Source organism: Homo sapiens, chromosome 5 (genome assembly GCF_000001405.40).
Source record: "Homo sapiens chromosome 5, GRCh38.p14 Primary Assembly".
Classification (NCBI taxonomy): Eukaryota; Metazoa; Chordata; class Mammalia; order Primates; family Hominidae; genus Homo; species Homo sapiens.
This window is the reverse complement of record NC_000005.10, coordinates 121951116-121970339: the sequence shown is the minus strand read 5'-3', so window position 1 is coordinate 121970339 and position 19224 is coordinate 121951116. Positions and strand designations below refer to the sequence as shown.

The 19224-nt window shown below is 38.9% G+C and overlaps 1 protein-coding gene across 2 annotated transcripts in view, besides 2 other annotated features; it reads right to left on the bottom strand.

The window, feature by feature from the left end:
- Positions 1-8365, bottom strand: part of SRFBP1 (serum response factor binding protein 1) — a 116961-nt gene extending 108596 nt beyond the window's left edge. For both annotated transcript variants that reach the window (XM_017009111.3, NM_152546.3), the window contains exon 1: positions 8272-8365. In XM_017009111.3, the coding sequence (XP_016864600.2) occupies positions 8272-8307 (36 nt within the window). In that variant the 5' untranslated portion in view covers positions 8308-8365. The remainder of the gene's footprint in view (positions 1-8271) is intronic.
- Positions 8174-8712: an enhancer, noted in NCBI's record as "H3K27ac hESC enhancer chr5:121297323-121297861 (GRCh37/hg19 assembly coordinates)". NCBI's record gives its function as "activates a minimal SCP1, AML or CMV promoter by ChIP-STARR-seq in naive H9 embryonic stem cells {active_cell/tissue: H9 hESC(naive)}" and the evidence as "EXISTENCE:reporter gene assay evidence [ECO:0000049][PMID:30033119]".
- Positions 8380-8429: an enhancer, noted in NCBI's record as "active region_22993". NCBI's record gives its function as "activates an Ori minimal core promoter by ATAC-STARR-seq in GM12878 lymphoblastoid cells {active_cell/tissue: GM12878}" and the evidence as "EXISTENCE:reporter gene assay evidence [ECO:0000049][PMID:35858748]".

Sequence of the window (19224 nt, the reverse complement as noted above, 5' to 3'; positions counted from 1 at the left end):
CAGTGGGTAGAGTTGGTCCTTGGTTACATTCCAATCATAACAAAGCTCGTCTCCAATTTTAAAATTCCAATTTAAGAAATACTATGTTTGCCATGAATGGATAAGGGAATTCTAAAAGCAAAAGGAATACCTCATATACTTAAGACTTAGGTTTCCCCAAGCACTTAGATTTTTGCAAAACTGATGACAAATATAGCCTTTAAGTTAGGATTTAAAAGGCTGCCAATTTATTTGTCACCCAGGAATTGTAAAGTTGGCTGACAACCCAGAAGTCAATGAACAGGCCTAACACACCAATACTGCCAGAAGTCCAAGTGCACTGCTTAATGGCAGTACATTTTGGCAAAACTCTAACCAAAAGCAAGAACTATCATTGTTAGAATTGTAAAAACAGTATGATTATTGTTTGGGACGGAAAGAACAGAGGAATAGTGTGAGCACAGAGAAAACAGAGGCATAGAAATGTAAATAAAATATGCTGACACAGAAGAAAGAAAATGAAAGACAAGTAGAAGGAAGGGGTCTGAAGACAGAAATTGAAGGGAAAATCTGAGGCCATCACCAACAAGACTGATTAAGCCAAGCCAAGGGTCTTCCAAACAGCAAGAGAATGCATTTAAGACAATCTATAAGGTCTGAAGAAAAAGAATTAAGACTTACATACCCAGCGAATATATATGTACTGACAGTGAAGTATCGCCTAGAAATTAGACATACAGAAGCCTTTAAAGTTAACCTGGCAAAATCTAAACATAGGGCATCTCTTGCATAGACAGTATAAAAATACTATAAATAAAGTGGAAGTCTAATATAGCTATTTGAGAAAAGACCATGTGAGATGACTCAGAAGAGTCAACATAAACACAGGAAAGGAAACCACAGAGAGGCAAAAGTTGGCAGTGTCCAGCTCAAGGAAATTCCAAAGAAAGGGTTCCCCAGCTCAGAGACTTGAGAAATCTAATCTGTTCTGGAATAACTCAATTATGGGAACAGATGCATCACAGCTCAACATGAATCATGCAACTAAAACCCCTTTCTGTATTTCTACATACCAAGCAGCTGATGGTCAGTATACAGGAAAAGAATGTGTTTTACAATGTGAGCATTTATTACGCATATTAGACACGTTTTTTAATAAACTAGCTTTCTCATTCACACAATCTCTTATACATTTAGGTTTAACATGAATTTGCTTTTTAGAGAATGAGCTCTATTTCTGGGGTGACAATGACGGCAAGTTTCTGATATGCAAAGCAGACAGGAGACTTTGGTCCAAAGACAAAATTAAATGCTACTTGAATTGACTTTTGGCTGGCTATGTGATAGTTGGCCAACCAGTTAGCCTCTGAAAATTCACCAACTTTACCATGTTTTTGAGTTAGCCTGTAACAAAAATCTATAGTTATTAGAAAATAGTTATTCTAGGAGCTAGTATTGTTCCAGGGGAACTTGCAGTGTTAAGAAAGTGTTTCTAAGAATACTAATACTTCTGCTTATTCATTAATTACCTATCAGATTAGTAAATACAAAAAAACTACGACAACAAATTCTTTGTATGAAGTTGGAGGAAACAGACAAATACACTGCTGGTAGAAATGCAAACTGATTTACTCCTTTGGGGGAAACCATGCTGTACTTTAACAAAAGTCCTACTTCTAGGAATCTATTCAGAAGACACATTCTCAACAATAGGAAAAGGCTACACACAAGATTATTCATTGCATCATTTTAACAAAATGTAGCATGAGAGAGAAAATAACGTATATAAATAAAGCATATAGCAATGTAGTATTTTAAATCAATGCAAAAGATCTGTAGGTATTACATGGATAAAACCTGAAAAGTAACATTTGGTGAATAAAATACAGTAGTCCCCCCCACCAACAATTTTGTTGTCAGCAGTTTCAGTTACCTGCGGTTAGCCAAAATTCCAAATATAAATAACTCATAAATTTTAAATTGTGCACCACTCTGAGTAGCATAATGAAATCTCTCACTGTACTACTCCATCCCACATGGGATGTAAATCATACATCCAGTGTATTTCTGCTGTATCCGTTACCTGCCCATTACTGTACAGAAAATAATAATAATAATAATAATAATAATAATAATAATGACAGAGTTTGGTACTATCTGAGGTTTTAAGCATACACTGGGGGTCTTGGAACATAACCCCCATGGATAAAGGGAGACTACTACAATTTATAATTTGTAAAACAATATGCAGTTTAAAAGTATACAACACAATACTATACACTGGGTATAGATACGTATGTTACTAAAATTGTGAAAAATATATAAGAGAAAAACACACACCAAGAGGAATAATTACCTCTGAGGTAGAAAAGAAGATGGGTGGAATTAAATATTAAGATATAGCAAAACACTGACATTTCCTAAACATAGGAAGTAGATTATAAGAAGATCTGTTACATTATTTTCCATACGTTTGAAGTAATTCATAGTTAACAAAATTATTGGGTTTCTTGTCTTTGTTCGAAACAAGGTCTGGCTCTATTGCCCAGGCAGGAGAGTAGTTGTGTGATCTCGACTCATCACAACCTCCGTCCCCCTCCCGGGCTCAAGCCATCTTCCCACCTTAGCCTCCCAAGTAGCTGGGACTACAGGTACGTACTACCATGTTTGGCTAATTTTTCTGTATTTTTTGTAGAGACGGGGTTTCACCATGTCGCCCAGGCTGGTCTCAAACTCGTGAGCTCAAGTGATCTGCCGGCCTCAGCCTCCCAAAGTGCTGGGATTATAGAGTGAGGCACTGCACCTGGCCAAAATTATTTTTGTATGAAGAGGACCCTAATTTTATCATATGGATGATAACTTATTGTTGATTTTACTTTTTATTTCTGATGAGCAACAATTTTTTAAAATACCTAGAGTGCTTAGTGATTATCTACGATTTAACCATTATTGGGCATATGCTGCCACCTAGCAAAACTTCCCAGAATAGTTTAATAACTAAACACAAATTGGTTCTTACGGAAATGCCCTAATTTAATATTTCAGAAAAAAATTATTAAAAAGTACTATGCACCTAATCACGACACAAGCGTTTTGTAACTTCATAAGCGCATACAAACGTGGTTCTTGACATTCTTATGTTTTACAATATGTGGAGGAAACTCATTTTGTTCTTTGGCACTTTAGTTTCTACCTTTACTGTCTTACATGAAATGAAAAGCAATTTTCTAATGGGCTTAATGGTAATTTGCTATCAAACAATAAAATAGGCCAGGCGTGGTGGCTCATGCCTGCAATCCCAGCACTCTGGGAGGCTGAGGCAGGCGGATCACGAGGTCAGGAGATCGAGACCATCCTGGCTAACACGGTGAAACCCTGTCTCTACTAAAAATACAAAAAAAAAAAAAAAAAAAATTAGCTGGGCGTGATGGTGGACGCCTGTAGTCCCAGCTAGTCGGGAGGCTGAGGCAGAAGAATGGCGTGAACCCAGGAGGTGGAGCTTTCAGTGAGCCAAGATCCTGCCACTGCACTCCAGCCTGGGCGACAGAGCGAGACTCCGTCTCAAAAAAAAAAATAAAAAATAAAAAATAAAAAAAAATAAAATGTCAGTTGTACATATAGGCCGTTGGCCTTCCTATGAAATTAAAGCACTCCATCAGATTGCTACACCTCCTAAATCTGATTTTTACATATCACTGCTGCCTAAATTTTAGAAAACAGATGACTTGAGAAAATCTAGCTCTAGTTTTGCAAATTATTTACGCACTAAATGCTATGGCACTGTTGTTTTCAATTGTGCATTTCTCCTCTAGTTCTAATGGAAAGGGAGGAAAAAAAGCATTTAGGAGATTTTCCCTCTCATTTGAACATTAGTTGACAGTTATGCTATCCATGCTTTCATCTGCCCATTATATACCTACTTCTTATTACCTGTAGACAAGGTACTGTGCTGGAGGTTAGGGAAGCTGCTATAAAAGCAATCAAAAATTCTCTCTTCAAAGTACCAAAAATATGCAATAAATAATCATCAGGATAGAGTAAAAAGTGATGGTTTATTTTTTAGAAGAGTAAAGATAAATTTTTACTTTACTTCGCAAGAATAACAACAAACTTTAATCTTAATCTCTTTACAACATACTTAGTATTGGAAGTTCTGGCCGGGGTAATCAGGCAAGAGAAAGAAATAAAGCGTATTCAAATAGGAAGAGAGGAAGTCAAACTGTCTCTATTTGCAGAAGACATGACTGTATATCTAGAAAACCCCATTGTTTCAGCCCCAAATCTCCTTAAGCTGATAAGCAATTTCAGCAAAGTCTCAGGATACAAAATCAATGTGCAAAAATCACAAGCATTCCCATACACCAATAATAGACAAACAGAGAGCCAAATCATGAGTGAACTCCCGATTCACAATTGCACAAAGAGAATAAAATGCCTAGAAATACAACTTACAGGGATGTGAAGGACCTCTTCAAGAACTACAAACCACTGTTCAAGGAAATAAGAGAGGACACATACAAATGGAAAAACATTCCATGCTCATAGATAGGAAGAATCAATATCGTGAAAACAGCCATACTGCCCAAAGTAATTTATAGATTTAAAGCTATCCCCATCAAGCTACCATTGACTTTCTTCACAGAATTGGAAAAAACTACTTTAAAGTTCATATGGAATCAAAAAAGAGCCTGCATAGCCAAGACAATCCTAAGTAAAAGGGACAAAGCTGGAGGCATCATGCTACCTGACTTCAAACTATAATACAAGGCTATAGTAACCAAAACAGCATGGTACTGGTACCAAAACAGATATATAGACCAATGGAACAGAACAGAGGCCTCAGAAACAACACCACACATCTACAAACATCTGATCTTTGACAAACCTGACAAAAACAAGCAATGGGGAAATGATTCCCTATTTAATAGATGGTGTTGGGAAAACTGGGTAGCCATATGCAGAAAACTGAAACTGGACCCCTTCCTTACACCTTATACAAAAATTAACTCAAGATGGATTAAAGACTTAAACGTCAGACCTAAAACCATAAAAACCCTAGAAGAAAACCTAGGCAATACCATTCAGGACTGAGGCATGGACAAAGACTACATGACTAAAACACCAAAAGCAATGGCAACAAAAGCCAAAAATGACAAATGGGATCTAATTAAACTAAAGAGCTTCTTCACAGCAAAAGCAACTATCATCAGAGTGAACATGCAACCTACAGAATGGGAGAAAATTTTTGCAATCTATCCATCGGACAAAGGGTTAATATCCAAAATCTACAAAGAACTTAAACAAATTTACAAGAAAAAAACAACCCCATCAAAAAGTGGGCGAAGGACATGAACAGACACTTCTCAAAAGAAGTCATTTATGCAGCCAACAAATATATGAAAAAATGCTCATCACCAGTGGTCATTAGAGATATGCAAATCCAAACCACAATGAGATACCATCTCATGCCAGTTAGAATGGCGATCATTAAAAAGTCAGGAAACAACAGATGCTGGAGAGGATGTGAAGAAACAGGAATGCTTTTACACTGTTGGTGGGAGTGTAAATTAGTTCAACCATAGTGGAAGACAGTGTGGTGATTCCTCAAGGATCTAGCAATAGAAATACCATTTGACCCAGCAATCCCATTATTGGCTATATACCTAAGGATTATAAATCATTCTACTACAAAGGCACATGCACATGTATGTTTATTGTGGCACTGTTTACAACAGCAAAGACTTTGAACCAACCCAAATGCCCATCAATGATAGACTGGATAATGAAAATGCGGCACATATACACCATGGAATACTATGCAGCCATAAAAAATGATGAGTTCATGTCCTTTGCAGGGACATGGATGATGCTGGAAACCATCATTCTCTGCAAAGCAACACAAGAACAGAAAACCAAACACTGCATGTTCTCACTCATAAGTTTGAGTTGAACAATGAGAACACATGGACACAGGGAAGGGAACATCACACACCAAGGCCTGTCGGGTGGGGGGAAAGGGGGAGGGATAGCATTAGGAGAAATACCTAATGTAGACGACAGGTTAATGGGTGCAGTAAACCACCATGGCACATGTATACCTATGTAACAAACTTGCACGTTCTGCACATGTACCCCAGAACTTAAAGTATACATATAAAAAAAAAAGATTAAAGTTTGAGAAGAGTCAATGTAAGTAGTTGGGAAGCTAGTACAGTAGCTGTACTAGGATTCTAGTGGTGATGGAAAAGAATTGAAAAGATTGAAAGCGAATTCAAATTATTTTTCAGATACATTTCCTCCTTGAAGAAGTTAATTCATTTCTTCTGCCTATTTTCTGAGATGGTTTCTTTTAATTTCTATGAGGTATTTCCTATTAAGGGCATTAGCCCTTTGTCATATCTGCTGTATTTTTTTTTTCTAGTTGGTTGTCATTTCTTTTCTTTGGTAGGTTATTCAATTTTTATGTAGATAAATCTCTCTTTCCTTTTGTGGGTTTTTTTTCCCACTAATTTTAAATTATAATATCCTCCATCATCTCCACTTTTTTCTGTCCTTTTTATCTCCTTCACATTAGAACACACTAGACTTCAGTGGTGGATGTGTGTAGTTCCTGCTTTCACAAATTCATGTAATCACCTAGTAAACATATGTGCTACACATGATAGACACATAAACACAGGAAGACAGAAACAGTTACATAAGTGTTTCCAGAGGAGAAAGCAATCTGGGTGCACAAAGAACAGACACCTAACCCAGACCGAGAGGAGTTAATGAAGGTTTCCTAAAGGTCAAATTTTAACTGTTTTGAAGAAGAACAAAAGTTAGCTAAGTGTGAAAAGAGTCTTTAATGACTCATCCCCTGTCATTTCCATCATCAAAGTCATTACAAAATTTGATATGAAGCTCCCTGGGGTTGAAATCCCAGGGACATTACTCTGATCTTTCATACATCACAGGTAACCTAATGCAAAATAGCCCACCAAACGCTTTCTGGCACAAAGCACAAGCTTAATGTATGTTTATGAGTAAATAGTAACTACTTTCAGCTTCCCTCTTCAGCATATCCTGTACTCCACTGTCAACTGAAATCCTGACTCGTTAATCTGGCAGCAGAGAATATATTTCAGTTTTATTTCCTTCTTCATCTCACAAGTTCCCATCAGTGAAGAGTTACTTATCCCTGTATTACCCACGGGTTCTTCTGCTACTAGCCCTTTCCTGCTTATACCAGTCCCTCTGCCTGGAATGACTTCTTCCCCTTTCCTGAATCACTGACTGCAATTCCTGTGCAAGATCCCTAAAGACCAAGGACAAGTATCACCCATTTCATTTTGCCGCCTTTGGAAACTTTTCTGCATTACTAGGTTTTGGAGGCATTCTTCACACATTGTTCTGTAACACAGGTGAGTGTTGCTTAGCTCTCTTACTTGAGTATAGGTTACTAGAAAATATGAAATATCCCTTACACTACTGTGTGTAATCTAAACAGTGACTTGCTCATAAACGGGATAAAGAATTTCCTTTCTGTATCTAACTGTGAGGTCCTTACTCGATCCTTATGTTTCCAGCTTACTTTAAGACTTTGGATGACATTATTTTGTTGAATAGAAGCAGAAACCAGAGGGGGATAAGTGGTAGAAATGGTATTTTGTCGACACCGCACACTATGGAAGTGACGGTGGTGAGAACAAATGTCTGATGAGAATGGACTGAAAAAGCAGAAAAAAGAATTGAGGATAGCAAGTATAAACAGCTCTTTATTGAAGTTCTGCTGTAAACGGAAGCAAAGAAATAGGACACTAACTGGAAGAGGAAACGAAGTACTGAGCATACAGTCTCATTCAAGACCACCAATTTCTTAGAAGCTACAGCTCTTACTTTCTCTCTTTCATTTTCGACAGGCAATAAAGAGCAGGTAATGTGTACTGAAAGTTTATTAAGGGTCAGGCACTTGCAAATACTTTACGTATCTCAGTTAATCTCACAACCCTGGGACGAACTATCTTGAGTTCCGCTTTACAGACGAGAATATTGAACGTACAGGCTAAAGGTTCTTCCCAAAGTCCCACAGACATAAATTCGTGGGGCCTGACACATGTCTCTCACTTTAGTCACCTGGAGACCGAAAAGGGAAATTACCGGTTGCCAAACTCCAAGTTGCGGGAAACCCGCCTGGGCCCACCACGAAAGTTCCTCCAACCGCACCCTCTATGCCCGCCTCCGACCACGCGTCTCAAAAGAGCTGGTTTTGAGGACCCTTAAAGTCAGCCCCATAGGTTCCTCGGCGCTCACCTCGTTATTGAGGTTCAGAGTTCCCGGCTGAGCCATGGTAGATGAAGGAATATGATCCGCCGCTGCCTGCACGTGAACCGGTCTCTCAGACCGCGGCTGCGTCGCCACGCCCCTCAACGGAAGCCTCTTCTGTCCAAAACTCATCCGCCTTCTGCTCTAGCTGCCGCCTGGGAACAAGAAACATTGACGCTTGGAAGGGAAAACCGGAACTGAGACAGAACAACTACCGGCGCAGAGGGCTACGCAACGGAATTGCGCGTTCCTATGGAAACCAGACGGGGGCTGGTAGCTGGGCAACGTCTAGTTTTTCAAGATTCGGTTTGTGTGTGTGTGTGTGTGTGTGTGTGTGTGTGTGTGTGTGTGTGTGTGTTCCCTTGGTACACTGCGCTCGCATTGTACCGGCCTTGGTTTTTCTCTCTAATGGCTAGGGGGGCGCTGAACGGCGGTGAAAGAGCTCTTCTGAAATGATCACTTGAATGAACGATTTTTTGCTTCCATTTTTTTAAATCTAGTATTTGTGAAGATTTCTGCTTTTCTAACAAGCACACCTTTTTAAATCCTCGCAGTTTTTTGTTACAACCTGACATTATAGCTGAGGTGCGGACATTTTTTTCCTGCACACTATAGAAGGGTTTAAATTTAGGGAATAAACATTTGAAGCAAAACCAGGATACACATTTGGTACTGCCTGTGGGAATGGCTGTTTATTAGCCGGCAAGCATAGGAGACGTAAGGGAGTGTGTTTGAATTAGGTAATATATAATTGTCAACACCTTCTAGTATTGACCATTAAAATGTGTCAAATGGTGGTCCAAGAGCTTTACATAAATTAGCTCCAAATCTCCACAGAAATCCAACAAGATAGAAATTATTTTCCTTTTATTAATATTATTTTGTTAGAGACCCAGTCTCTCTTTGTCATCCAGGCTGGTGTGCAGTGGCACAGTCATAGCTCACTGCAGCCTCAAACTCTTGGGCTCAAGCCATCCTCTCACCTCAGCCTTCCAAATAACTAGGACTACAGGAGTGAGCCACCCTACTCTGCTCTGAACTATTATTTTACAGATGTGGAAAGTGACTTCAGAGGCACCAAGTGCCTCGCCCAGAGTCACTTGCCTGGGACTGTCCACTGCTACAGGACTTCAAGTCCAGCTACATAATACCTGGGGTACAGTGCAAAATGAAAATCCAGGCCCCTTTATTCAAAATGCAGGAAAAACGTTTCTTCCGGCGGAGGGTGGTGGCTCATGCCTGTAATCCCAGTACTTTAGGAAGCCTAGGCGGGCGGATCACCTGAGGTCGGGAGTTCGAGACCAGCCTGACCAACGTGGAGAAACCCCGTCTCTACTAAAAATACAAAATTAGCCGACCGTGGTGACGCATGCTTGTAATCCCAGCTACTCGGGAGGCTGAGGCAGGAGAATCACTTGAACCTGGGAGGCGGAGGTTGCCGTGAGCCAAGATCACTCCAGACTGGGCAACAAGAGTGAAACTTCGTCTCAAAAAAAAAAAAAAGTTTCTTCCATAGCGTCTCTTGACTCATCATGGTGTTTGTTAATTTACTATTTAATACGATGCTCCCTAAAGCACAGAGACATTAGGTTGTCAGGGCAGACCCTCAAAGGTGCCTGAGACCCCTGCCCCAAGACTCAGGTAGGAGTGTATACACTGGAGCAAGGTGGCAGCAGTTGCTGGGTGGAGACAGGAGAGCAGGAAACCAGAGAATCCACCTGAGGAGCTTTTGGGGACAGGACCACACATGACCTGAGACAACAAGGCCTTGGCACATGTTCCATTATCCCACTAGACTTCACTTACAAAACTCAAATTCAAAAAGGAAATCACTAATAATTTCAAGACTGTGCCCAAAGCTTAGTTAACCAAGGCCCACTTCTGAGCCTTTGCCGAAGAAACCAGCCTTGTCCAGAACCCATGCTGTTATCTCATAAAACTGAACTCCGCTTAGAATAGCTCTGACTTGGTAAAAGAAATTGGCATTCTTTTAGTTTGGTGCATTATTTGGACACAAATGGATTTAACAGATGACTTCCTGTTGGACCAGTGTTACATGAAGGTAGATTTGCCACTACTAAATAGTACGCTGAATTGTAATTGTTTCCTTTGTCTACCTTCTGTCATTAAAGCTGAACTCCTGGAGTGTAGGAGCTTTTTCAGCTCCAGGTGGGTAGTGTACACTTTGCATATAAATACATACGAAGGAATGTCAAATAATCAAGATAAATAGAGAGCTTTATTGAAAATCTGTCTTCGAATTTGGGAGAAAGGAGTTATTATGATCCCATAATGCTTCAGAAAATGTATTACTAATACAAAATTTGCCTGTAACTCTGAAAAGCTTTGCAGTGTTTTCTCTTGACTACTTCTTTTGCTCCCTAAAATCTCAGTTCTTAAACCACCAGTCTCCTCAGGATCAGCACTTGCTTAGTTGTTTTCCTCCTTAGCCCATGCTGTCTCCCTTAGCTATGATGCTTCCTCTGCTACATCTGCTTGCTCAAGTGCTATTTCTCAAGACCAGGTCAAATTCCATCCATCCCTTTTAATAATTATTTCCACATCCCCAAAGATAAGTTTAATTTTGCTCACCAGTGGGTCATATTTATAGTATTTATGATAGTCTACCAGTGGGTCATTCTTATAGTATTTATGATAGTCTACTTTAATTTGAAATTATTTGTGTACTGGTTATTCTTTTTATGTTAAAAGCTCTCAACAACCTTAGATACTCTTGTTTTTTTTTTTTTTTTGAGACGGAGTCTCGCTCTGTCGCCCAGGCTGGAGTGCAGTGGCGGGATCTCGGCTCACTGCAAGCTCCGCCTCCCGGGTTCACGCCATTCTCCTGCCTCAGCCTCCCAAGTAGCTGGGACTACAGGCGCCCGCCACTACGCCCGGCTAATTTTTTGTATTTTTAGTAGAGACGGGGTTTCACCATTTTAGCCGGGATGGTCTCGATCTCCTGACCTCGTGATCCGCCCGCCTCGGCCTCCCAAAGTGCTGGGATTACAGGCGTGAGCCACCACACCCGGCCGATACTCTTGTTTTTAAAGAGACTAGTATTGTTCCATTTTCACAATATTAATGTGAAATCATTTGTTCCAGATATATCACCTCCAAGTCAATCTTCCTACCTCTTTTGATGCCACAATCTCAAAAATTATTTTGTTTGATAACAAAGGTAGTTCTACTAACTGGCTTTCATTAAGCAATGCCCAATTGATCCAGTAATAATAATGTATTTGTGATAATTAGGTTGAAAGTTTCTCTAGAAAGCAAACTGTCTCCCTGTTTTATTCATGGAGGGCTGACCTGGATCAATTAAATGCTGTCAGATGTATGAAATGACAAAGCTATAATAATCAAAAGCAACTAGTTTGAGACTTTTTTTCTTTTTATTACAGTGCTCCAATTAGTGGAACTAAGGGTCCACAAACACATTCAATAGAGACTCAAGTTTTTCAGTGTCAAGTTCCTCAAGAGGAACTTGTGTTAGTCCCACGGTGTTAGTTGGTTTGGGGTGCCATAATAAAATACCGCAATCTGGATAACTTACACAACACAAATTTATTTAGGATACGTGAAGTCCAAGATCAAGGTACCATCAGGATTAGTTTCTGGTAAGAGCTCTCTTCTTTGCTTGCAGATAGCCACCTTTTTGTGGCCACAACCCCATGTAACCTTTCTGCTGTGCACATGTGGAGAGAGAGCTCTCTGGTGTTTTCCTCTTCTTATAGGGGCACCAATCCTATTGGATTAGAGTCCTACCATTATGACCTTATTTAAACTTAATTACATCCCTACAGATTTTTATCTCTGAATAGCATCATATTGGGGGTTAGGTCTTCAACATATGAATTTGAAGGGCAGGGAAAACAATTCATTTCACAACATCCACTTTCCTTGAGAAATCTTCTGTGATTATATCAAAGTAATCTCTTATCTAACATGCTGGATTACTGCCATTATTCTCATTTTGCACTTTTCTTAAGTTTTATTCATACAATTCTAGATTACAACTAAACATGGATGTTTAGCAAACAGAATTAAGAAACGCATACTCACACATATATGAACAAATGATTTTTGAGAAAGTTTCAAAGGCAATTCTGTGAGGAAAAGTTAGTTTTCTCAACAAACTGTGCCTGAATAATTGGATATCTATATGGAACACACACACGTTCACACACACCACTTTCACCCACATGTAACACCACCTAGAAAAACAACTCAAAATGGTTGAGTTTATATCTAAATGTAAAACCTATAAAACTTCAAGAAGAAATCACAGGACAAAAACTTTGTACTGTGAGCAACTACATGCTAACAAATTGGAAAACTCTGAAGAAAGGATAAATTCCTAGACACATACAGTGTACCAAGATTGAACCATGAAGAAACCCAAAACCTGAATAAACCAATAAGTGATAAAATAGAAGCCTTAATAAAAAGTTTTCCAGCAAAGAAAAGCCTGGGGCTTGACGGCTTCACTGCTGAATTTTACTGTGCACTTAAAGAACTAAGAACAGCCCTACTGAAACTATTCTGAGAAATAAAGAAGAGAATACTTCCAAAGTCATTCTAGGAAGCCAGTATTACTCCAATACTAAAGGCAAAGACACATCTAGAAAAGAAAACTACAGACCAATATCTCTGATGAACATTGATGCAAAAATTCTCAACAAAACACTAGTAAACTGAATTCAACAACACATTAAAACATCATCCATCGTGACAAAGTGAGATTTATCCCTGGGATGCAAGGATGGTTCACCATATGCAAATCAATTGATATGACACATCATATCAACAGAATAAATGACAAAAATATAATTTTAACTGATGCTGAGGAAACATTTGATAAAATTTAACATTCATTCACAATAAAAACTCAACAGAGTATACAAAGAACATATCTCAACATAATTAAAGCCACATATGACAGAAACAGTATCATGATTGGTGAAAACCTGAAAGCCTTTCTGCTAAGATCTAGAACAAGACAAGGATGCTCACTTTAACCACTGTTATTAAACATAGTGATGAAAGTCTTAGCTAGAGCAATCAGACAAGAGAAAGAAATAAAGGGCATCTAAATTGGAAAGAAAGTAAAATTATCCTAGTTTTGCAGATTATATGATCTTATATTTGAAAAAACAACATCTCCACCAAAAAGCTATTAGAACTGATAAATTGATTAAAGTTACAGGATACAAAATCAGCATACAAAAATCAGCAGCATTTCTGTGTTCAGTGAACCATGTGAAAAATCAAGAAAGTAATCCCACTTATAATAGCTACAAATAAAATTAAATACCTAGGTATAAACTTAACCAAAGAAGTGAAAGATCTCTACAGTGAAAACTATAATGCAAAAAAAACTATGATGCAAGAAATTGAAGAGGACACACACAAAAATGGAAAGATATTCCATGTTTATGAATTGGAAGTATCAATATTTTTTAAATGTCCATACTACCCAAAGCAACCTACAGATCCAATGCAATCCTACCAAAATATCAATGACATTTTTCACAGAAATAGAAAAAACATCCTAAAATTTATATGGAACCACAAAAGACCCAGAATAGCCATAGCTAGCCTAAGCAAAAGACCAAAACTGGAGGAATCACATTATCTGGCTTCAAATTATTCTACAGAGCGATAGAAAGCAAAATAACATGGTACTGGCACAGAAATAGACACACAGACCAATGGAATAGAGTAGAGAACCCAGAAGTAATTCACACATTTACAGTGAACTCAATTTTTACAAAGGTGCCAAGCACATGCATTAGGAAAAGGACATTTTCTTGAATAAATGTGCTGGGAAACTGGATATTTATATGCAGAATAATGAAACTAGACCCCCATCTCTCACCATATATAAAAATCAAATAAAAATGGATTAAAGACTTAAATCTAAGACCTGAATCTATGAAACTATTAAAAGAAAACTTTGGGGAAGCTCTCCAGGACATTGGTCTGAACGAAGATTTATTGAGTAATAGTCAACAAGCACAGTCAACCAAAGCAAAAGTGGACAAATGGGATCACATCAAGTTAAAACGCTTCCACACAACAAAGGAAACAATCAACACAGTGAAAAGAAAACTCACAGAATGGGAGAAAATATTTGGGAACTATTCATCTGACGAAGGATTAATAATCAGACTATATAAGAAGCCCCAACAACTTAGTAGAAAAAAATCTAATAATCTGATTCAAAAATGAGCAAAATATCTGAATAGATATTTCTCAAAAAAGACATAAAAATGGCAAACAAGTAAAAGAAGATGCTCAGTATCTTGATCGTCAGAGAAATGCAAATGAAAACGACAATGAGATGTCTTCTCATTCCAGATACAATGATTTTTATCCAGAAGACAGGCAATAACAAATGCTGGTGAGAATGGGAAGAAAAGGAAACCCCTGCACACTGTTGGTGGGAATGTAAATTAGTACATCCACTATGGAGAACAGTATGGACGTTCCTCAAAAACCTAACAATAGAACTACCATATGTTACAGCAATCCCACTGCTAGGTATATACTCAAGAGAAAGGAAATCAGACTATCAGAGAGATGCCTGCACTTCCATATTTATTGTAGCGCTATTCACAATAGCCAAGATTTGGAATCAACCTAATGTTCATCAACAGATAAATGGATAAAGAAAATGTGATGCATACATGCAATGAAATACATTCAGCCATAAAAATGAGATCCTGTTACCTTCAGTAACATGGAAGGAAATGTAGGACATGATGTTAAGTGAAATAAGCCAGGCATAGAAAAAACAAAGTTCACATGTCCTCAGTTACTTGTGGGAGCTAAAAATTAAAACAATTGAACTCATGAAGATAGAGAATAGAATGATGGTTACCAGAGGCTGAGAAGGGTAGTGGTTGGGGGAAGTGGGGTGGTTAATGGGTACAAAAATATAGGTAGATAGAATGAATGTGATCTAGTATATGATAGCACAACAGGGTGACTACGGTCAAGAATAATTTATTGTGCATTTAAAAATAACCAAAAGAGTATAATTGGAACATTCATAAAACAAAGAAATAATAAATGCTGGAGGTGATGGATACCCCATTTACCCTGATGTGATTATTACACATTGTATACCTGCATCAAGATATCTCATGTACCCCATAAATATATACACCTACTATGTATCCATAAAAATTAACAATACAAAAAATTAAGAAAAAACTCTTTTCAACTGAAAAAAATATTGTGACCCTGGGTTAGGCAAAAGTTTCTAGGATATTAGACAAAAAGCAGAATCCATATAAAAATACATTAAAAATTGGACTGAATCAACAATAGAACTTCTACTCTTCAAAAGACACTGGGAGGATAGCCAAAAGAGAAACCACACATGGAGCGAAAAATTTTGAAAATTACATATTTTATAAAGCACTTTAACCTTGACTATATAAAGAACTCTCCAAACACAAAAGTTAAGAAAACAGGCAAAATATTTGAACAGATATTTCACTCTTAAAAGATATGGGAATAGCAAAGAAGCACATGAAAATATGTTCAGCATCTTTATGAGAGGCGACAACCTGCTGGCAGCCCTCGCTCGGCCTCGGCGCCCACTCTGGCCGCACTTGAGGAGGTCTTCAGCCCGGCCGCTGCACTGTGGGAGCCCCTCTCTGGGCTGCCGGAGGCCGGAGCAGGCTTCCTCTGCTTGCGTGGAGGTGTGGAGGGAGAGGCGCGGGCGGGAACCGAGGCTGCGCACAGCGCTCGCGGGCCAGCGCTAGTTCCGGGTGGGCGCAGGTTTGGCGGGCCTCACACTTGGAGCGGCCGGCCCGCGCCCGCGCCGGCGCCGCTGGTCCCGAGCAGCGAAGGGCTTAGCACCCGGGCCAGCAGCTGCGGAGGGTGCGCCCCGGTGCCCCAGCACTGCCGGCCCACCCGCGCGGCGCTGGAATTCTCTCCAGGCCTCGGCCTCCTCCCTGCGGGTCAGGGCGCGGTGGCTCACTCCTGTAATCCCAGCACTTTGGGAGGCCGAGGCGGACGGATCACGAGGTAAGGAGATCGAGACCATCCTGGATAACACGGTGAAAGCCCATCTCTACTAAAAATACAAAAAATTCCGGACACAGTTAGACATCAGGGAAATGCAAATTAAAACCACAATGTGATTTCTTTCTATACCTATTAGAATGGCTAAAATAAAAAGTCTGATCATACCAAGTAGGATGTGGAGTACCTGGAACTCTCAAACATCACTAGTGGGAATGTAACGCGGTACAGTTTAGAGTTTCTTAAGAAGTTTCTAGTATATGACCTAGGCCTTCTCTTCTAGATTAATAGAGAAATGGAAGTACGTGTACATACAGACTCTTGTGCTTAAATGTTCAGAGAAGTTTTAATTTTAATAGCCAAATGATAAAAACAATACAAAACTTTATTCAACAGGCAAATGAATAAACTATGATACACATACACATACACACACATGCACACACACGAACATCATTCAGTAAAAGAAAGCAATGGCACACACTATAACATGGATGAATTTTAAAATAATTATGCTGGGTGGCAGAATCAAGACAAAAAGAGTACATACTGTATTATTTCATTCATATAAAATTCTAGGAAATGCAAACTAATGTATAGTTACAAAAATAGATCAATGGTTGCCTGCAGAAGTGAGAGAGAGGGGATAGAAGGATGCCAGAAAAAAAATTGCAAATGGTCATGAGGAAGTTTTGGATGGTAATTGATATGTTCATCGTATCAATTTGTGATGGTATCACAGTTGATACGTATGTCAAAACTTATCAAAGCATATATATATCAAACTTTGTATATATATATATGCAGTAAATTGTGTGTCAATTAAAGCTCAATAAAGCTCTTTTTTCTTATTATACTTTAAGTTTTAGGGTACATGTGCACATTGTGCAGGTTAGTTACATATGTATACATGTGCCATGCTGGTGCGCTGCACCCACTAACTCGTCATCTAGCATTAGGTATATCTCCCAATGCTATCCCTCCCCCCTCCCCCCACCCCACCACAGTCCCCAGAGTGTGATATTCCCCTTCCTGTGTCCATGTAATCTCATTGTTCAATTCCCACCTATGAGTGAGAATATGCGGTGTTTGGTTTTTTGTTCTTGCGATAGTTTACTGAGAATGATGGTTTCCAGTTTCATCCATGTCCCTACAAAGGACATGAACTCATCATTTTTTATGGCTGCATAGTATTCCATGGTGTATATGTGCCACATTTTCTTAATCCAGTCTATCATTGTTGGACATTTGGGTTGGTTCCAAGTCTTTGCTATTGCGAATAATGCCGCAATAAACATACGTGTGCATGTGTCTTTATAGCAGCATGATTTATAGTCATTTGGGTATATACCCAGTAATGGGATGGCTGGGTCAAATGGTATTTCTAGTTCTAGATCCCTGAGGAATCGCCACACTGACTTCCACAATGGTTGAACTAGTTTACAGTCCCACCAACAGTGTAAAAGTGTTCCTATTTCTCCACATCCTCTCCAGCACCTGTTGTTTCCTGACTTTTTAATGATTGCCATTCTAACTGGTGTGAGATGATATCTCATAGTGGTTTTGATTTGCATTTCTCTGATGGCCAGTGATGATGAGCATTTTTTCATGTGTTTTTTGGCTGCATAAATGTCTTCTTTTGAGAAGTGTCTGTTCATGTCCTTTGCCCACTTTTTGATGGGGTTGTTTGTTTTTTTCTTGTAAATTTGTTTGAGTTCATTGTAGATTCTGGATATTAGCCCTTTGTCAGATGAGTAGGTTGCGAAAATTTTCTCCCATGTTGTAGGTTGCCTGTTCACTCTGATGGTAGTTTCTTTTGCTGTGCAGAAGCTCTTTAGTTTAATTAGATCCCATTTGTCAATTTTGGCTTTTGTTGCCATTGCTTTTGGTGTTTTGGACATGAAGTCCTTGCCCATGCCTATGTCCTGAATGGTAATGCCTAGGTTTTCTTCTAGGGTTTTTATGGTTTTAGGTCTAACTTTTAAATCTTTAATCCATCTTGAATTGATTTTTGTATAAGGTGTAAGGAAGGGATCCAGTTTCAGCTTTCTACATATGGCTAGCCAGTTTTCCCAGCACCATTTATTAAATAGGGAATCCTTTCCCCATTGCTTGTTTTTCTCAGGTTTGTCGAAGATCAGATAGTTGTAGGTATGCGGCGTTATTTCTGAGGGCTCTGTTCTGTTCCATTGATCTATATCTCTGTTTTGGTACCAGTACCATGCTGTTTTGGTTACTGTAGCCTTGTAGTATAGTTTGAAGTCAGGTAGTGTGATGCCTCCAGCTTTGTTCTATCTAGAAAACCCCATCGTCTCAGCCCAAAATCTCCTTAAGCTGATAAGCAACTTCAGCAAAGTCTCAGGATACAAAATCAGTGTACAAAAATCACAAGCATTCTTATACACCAACAACAGACAAACAGAGAGCCAAATCATGAGTGAACTCCCATTCACAATTGCTTCAAAGAGAATAAAATACCTAGGAATCCAACTTACAAGGGATGTGAAGGACCTCTTCGAGGAGAACTACAAACCATTGCTCAATGAAATAAAAGAGGATACAAACAAATGGAAGAACATTCCATGCTCATGGGTAGGAAGAATCAATATCGTGAAAATGGCCATACTGCCCAAGGTAATTTACAGATTCAATGCCATCCCCATCAAGCTACCAATGACTTTCTTCACAGAATTGGAAAAAACTACTTTAAAGTTCATATGGAACCAAAAAAGAGCCCGCATTGCCAAGTCAATCCTAAGCCAATAAAGCTCTTAAATGAATACATTTACCCTTGGACTAGCAATTCTACTTCTAGAAAAATATAGTAACATTACATTGGTAGAAATTATTGATGCATGTAAAAAGCTATTCAGTATATAAGTGTTTATAATAATAGAAGAT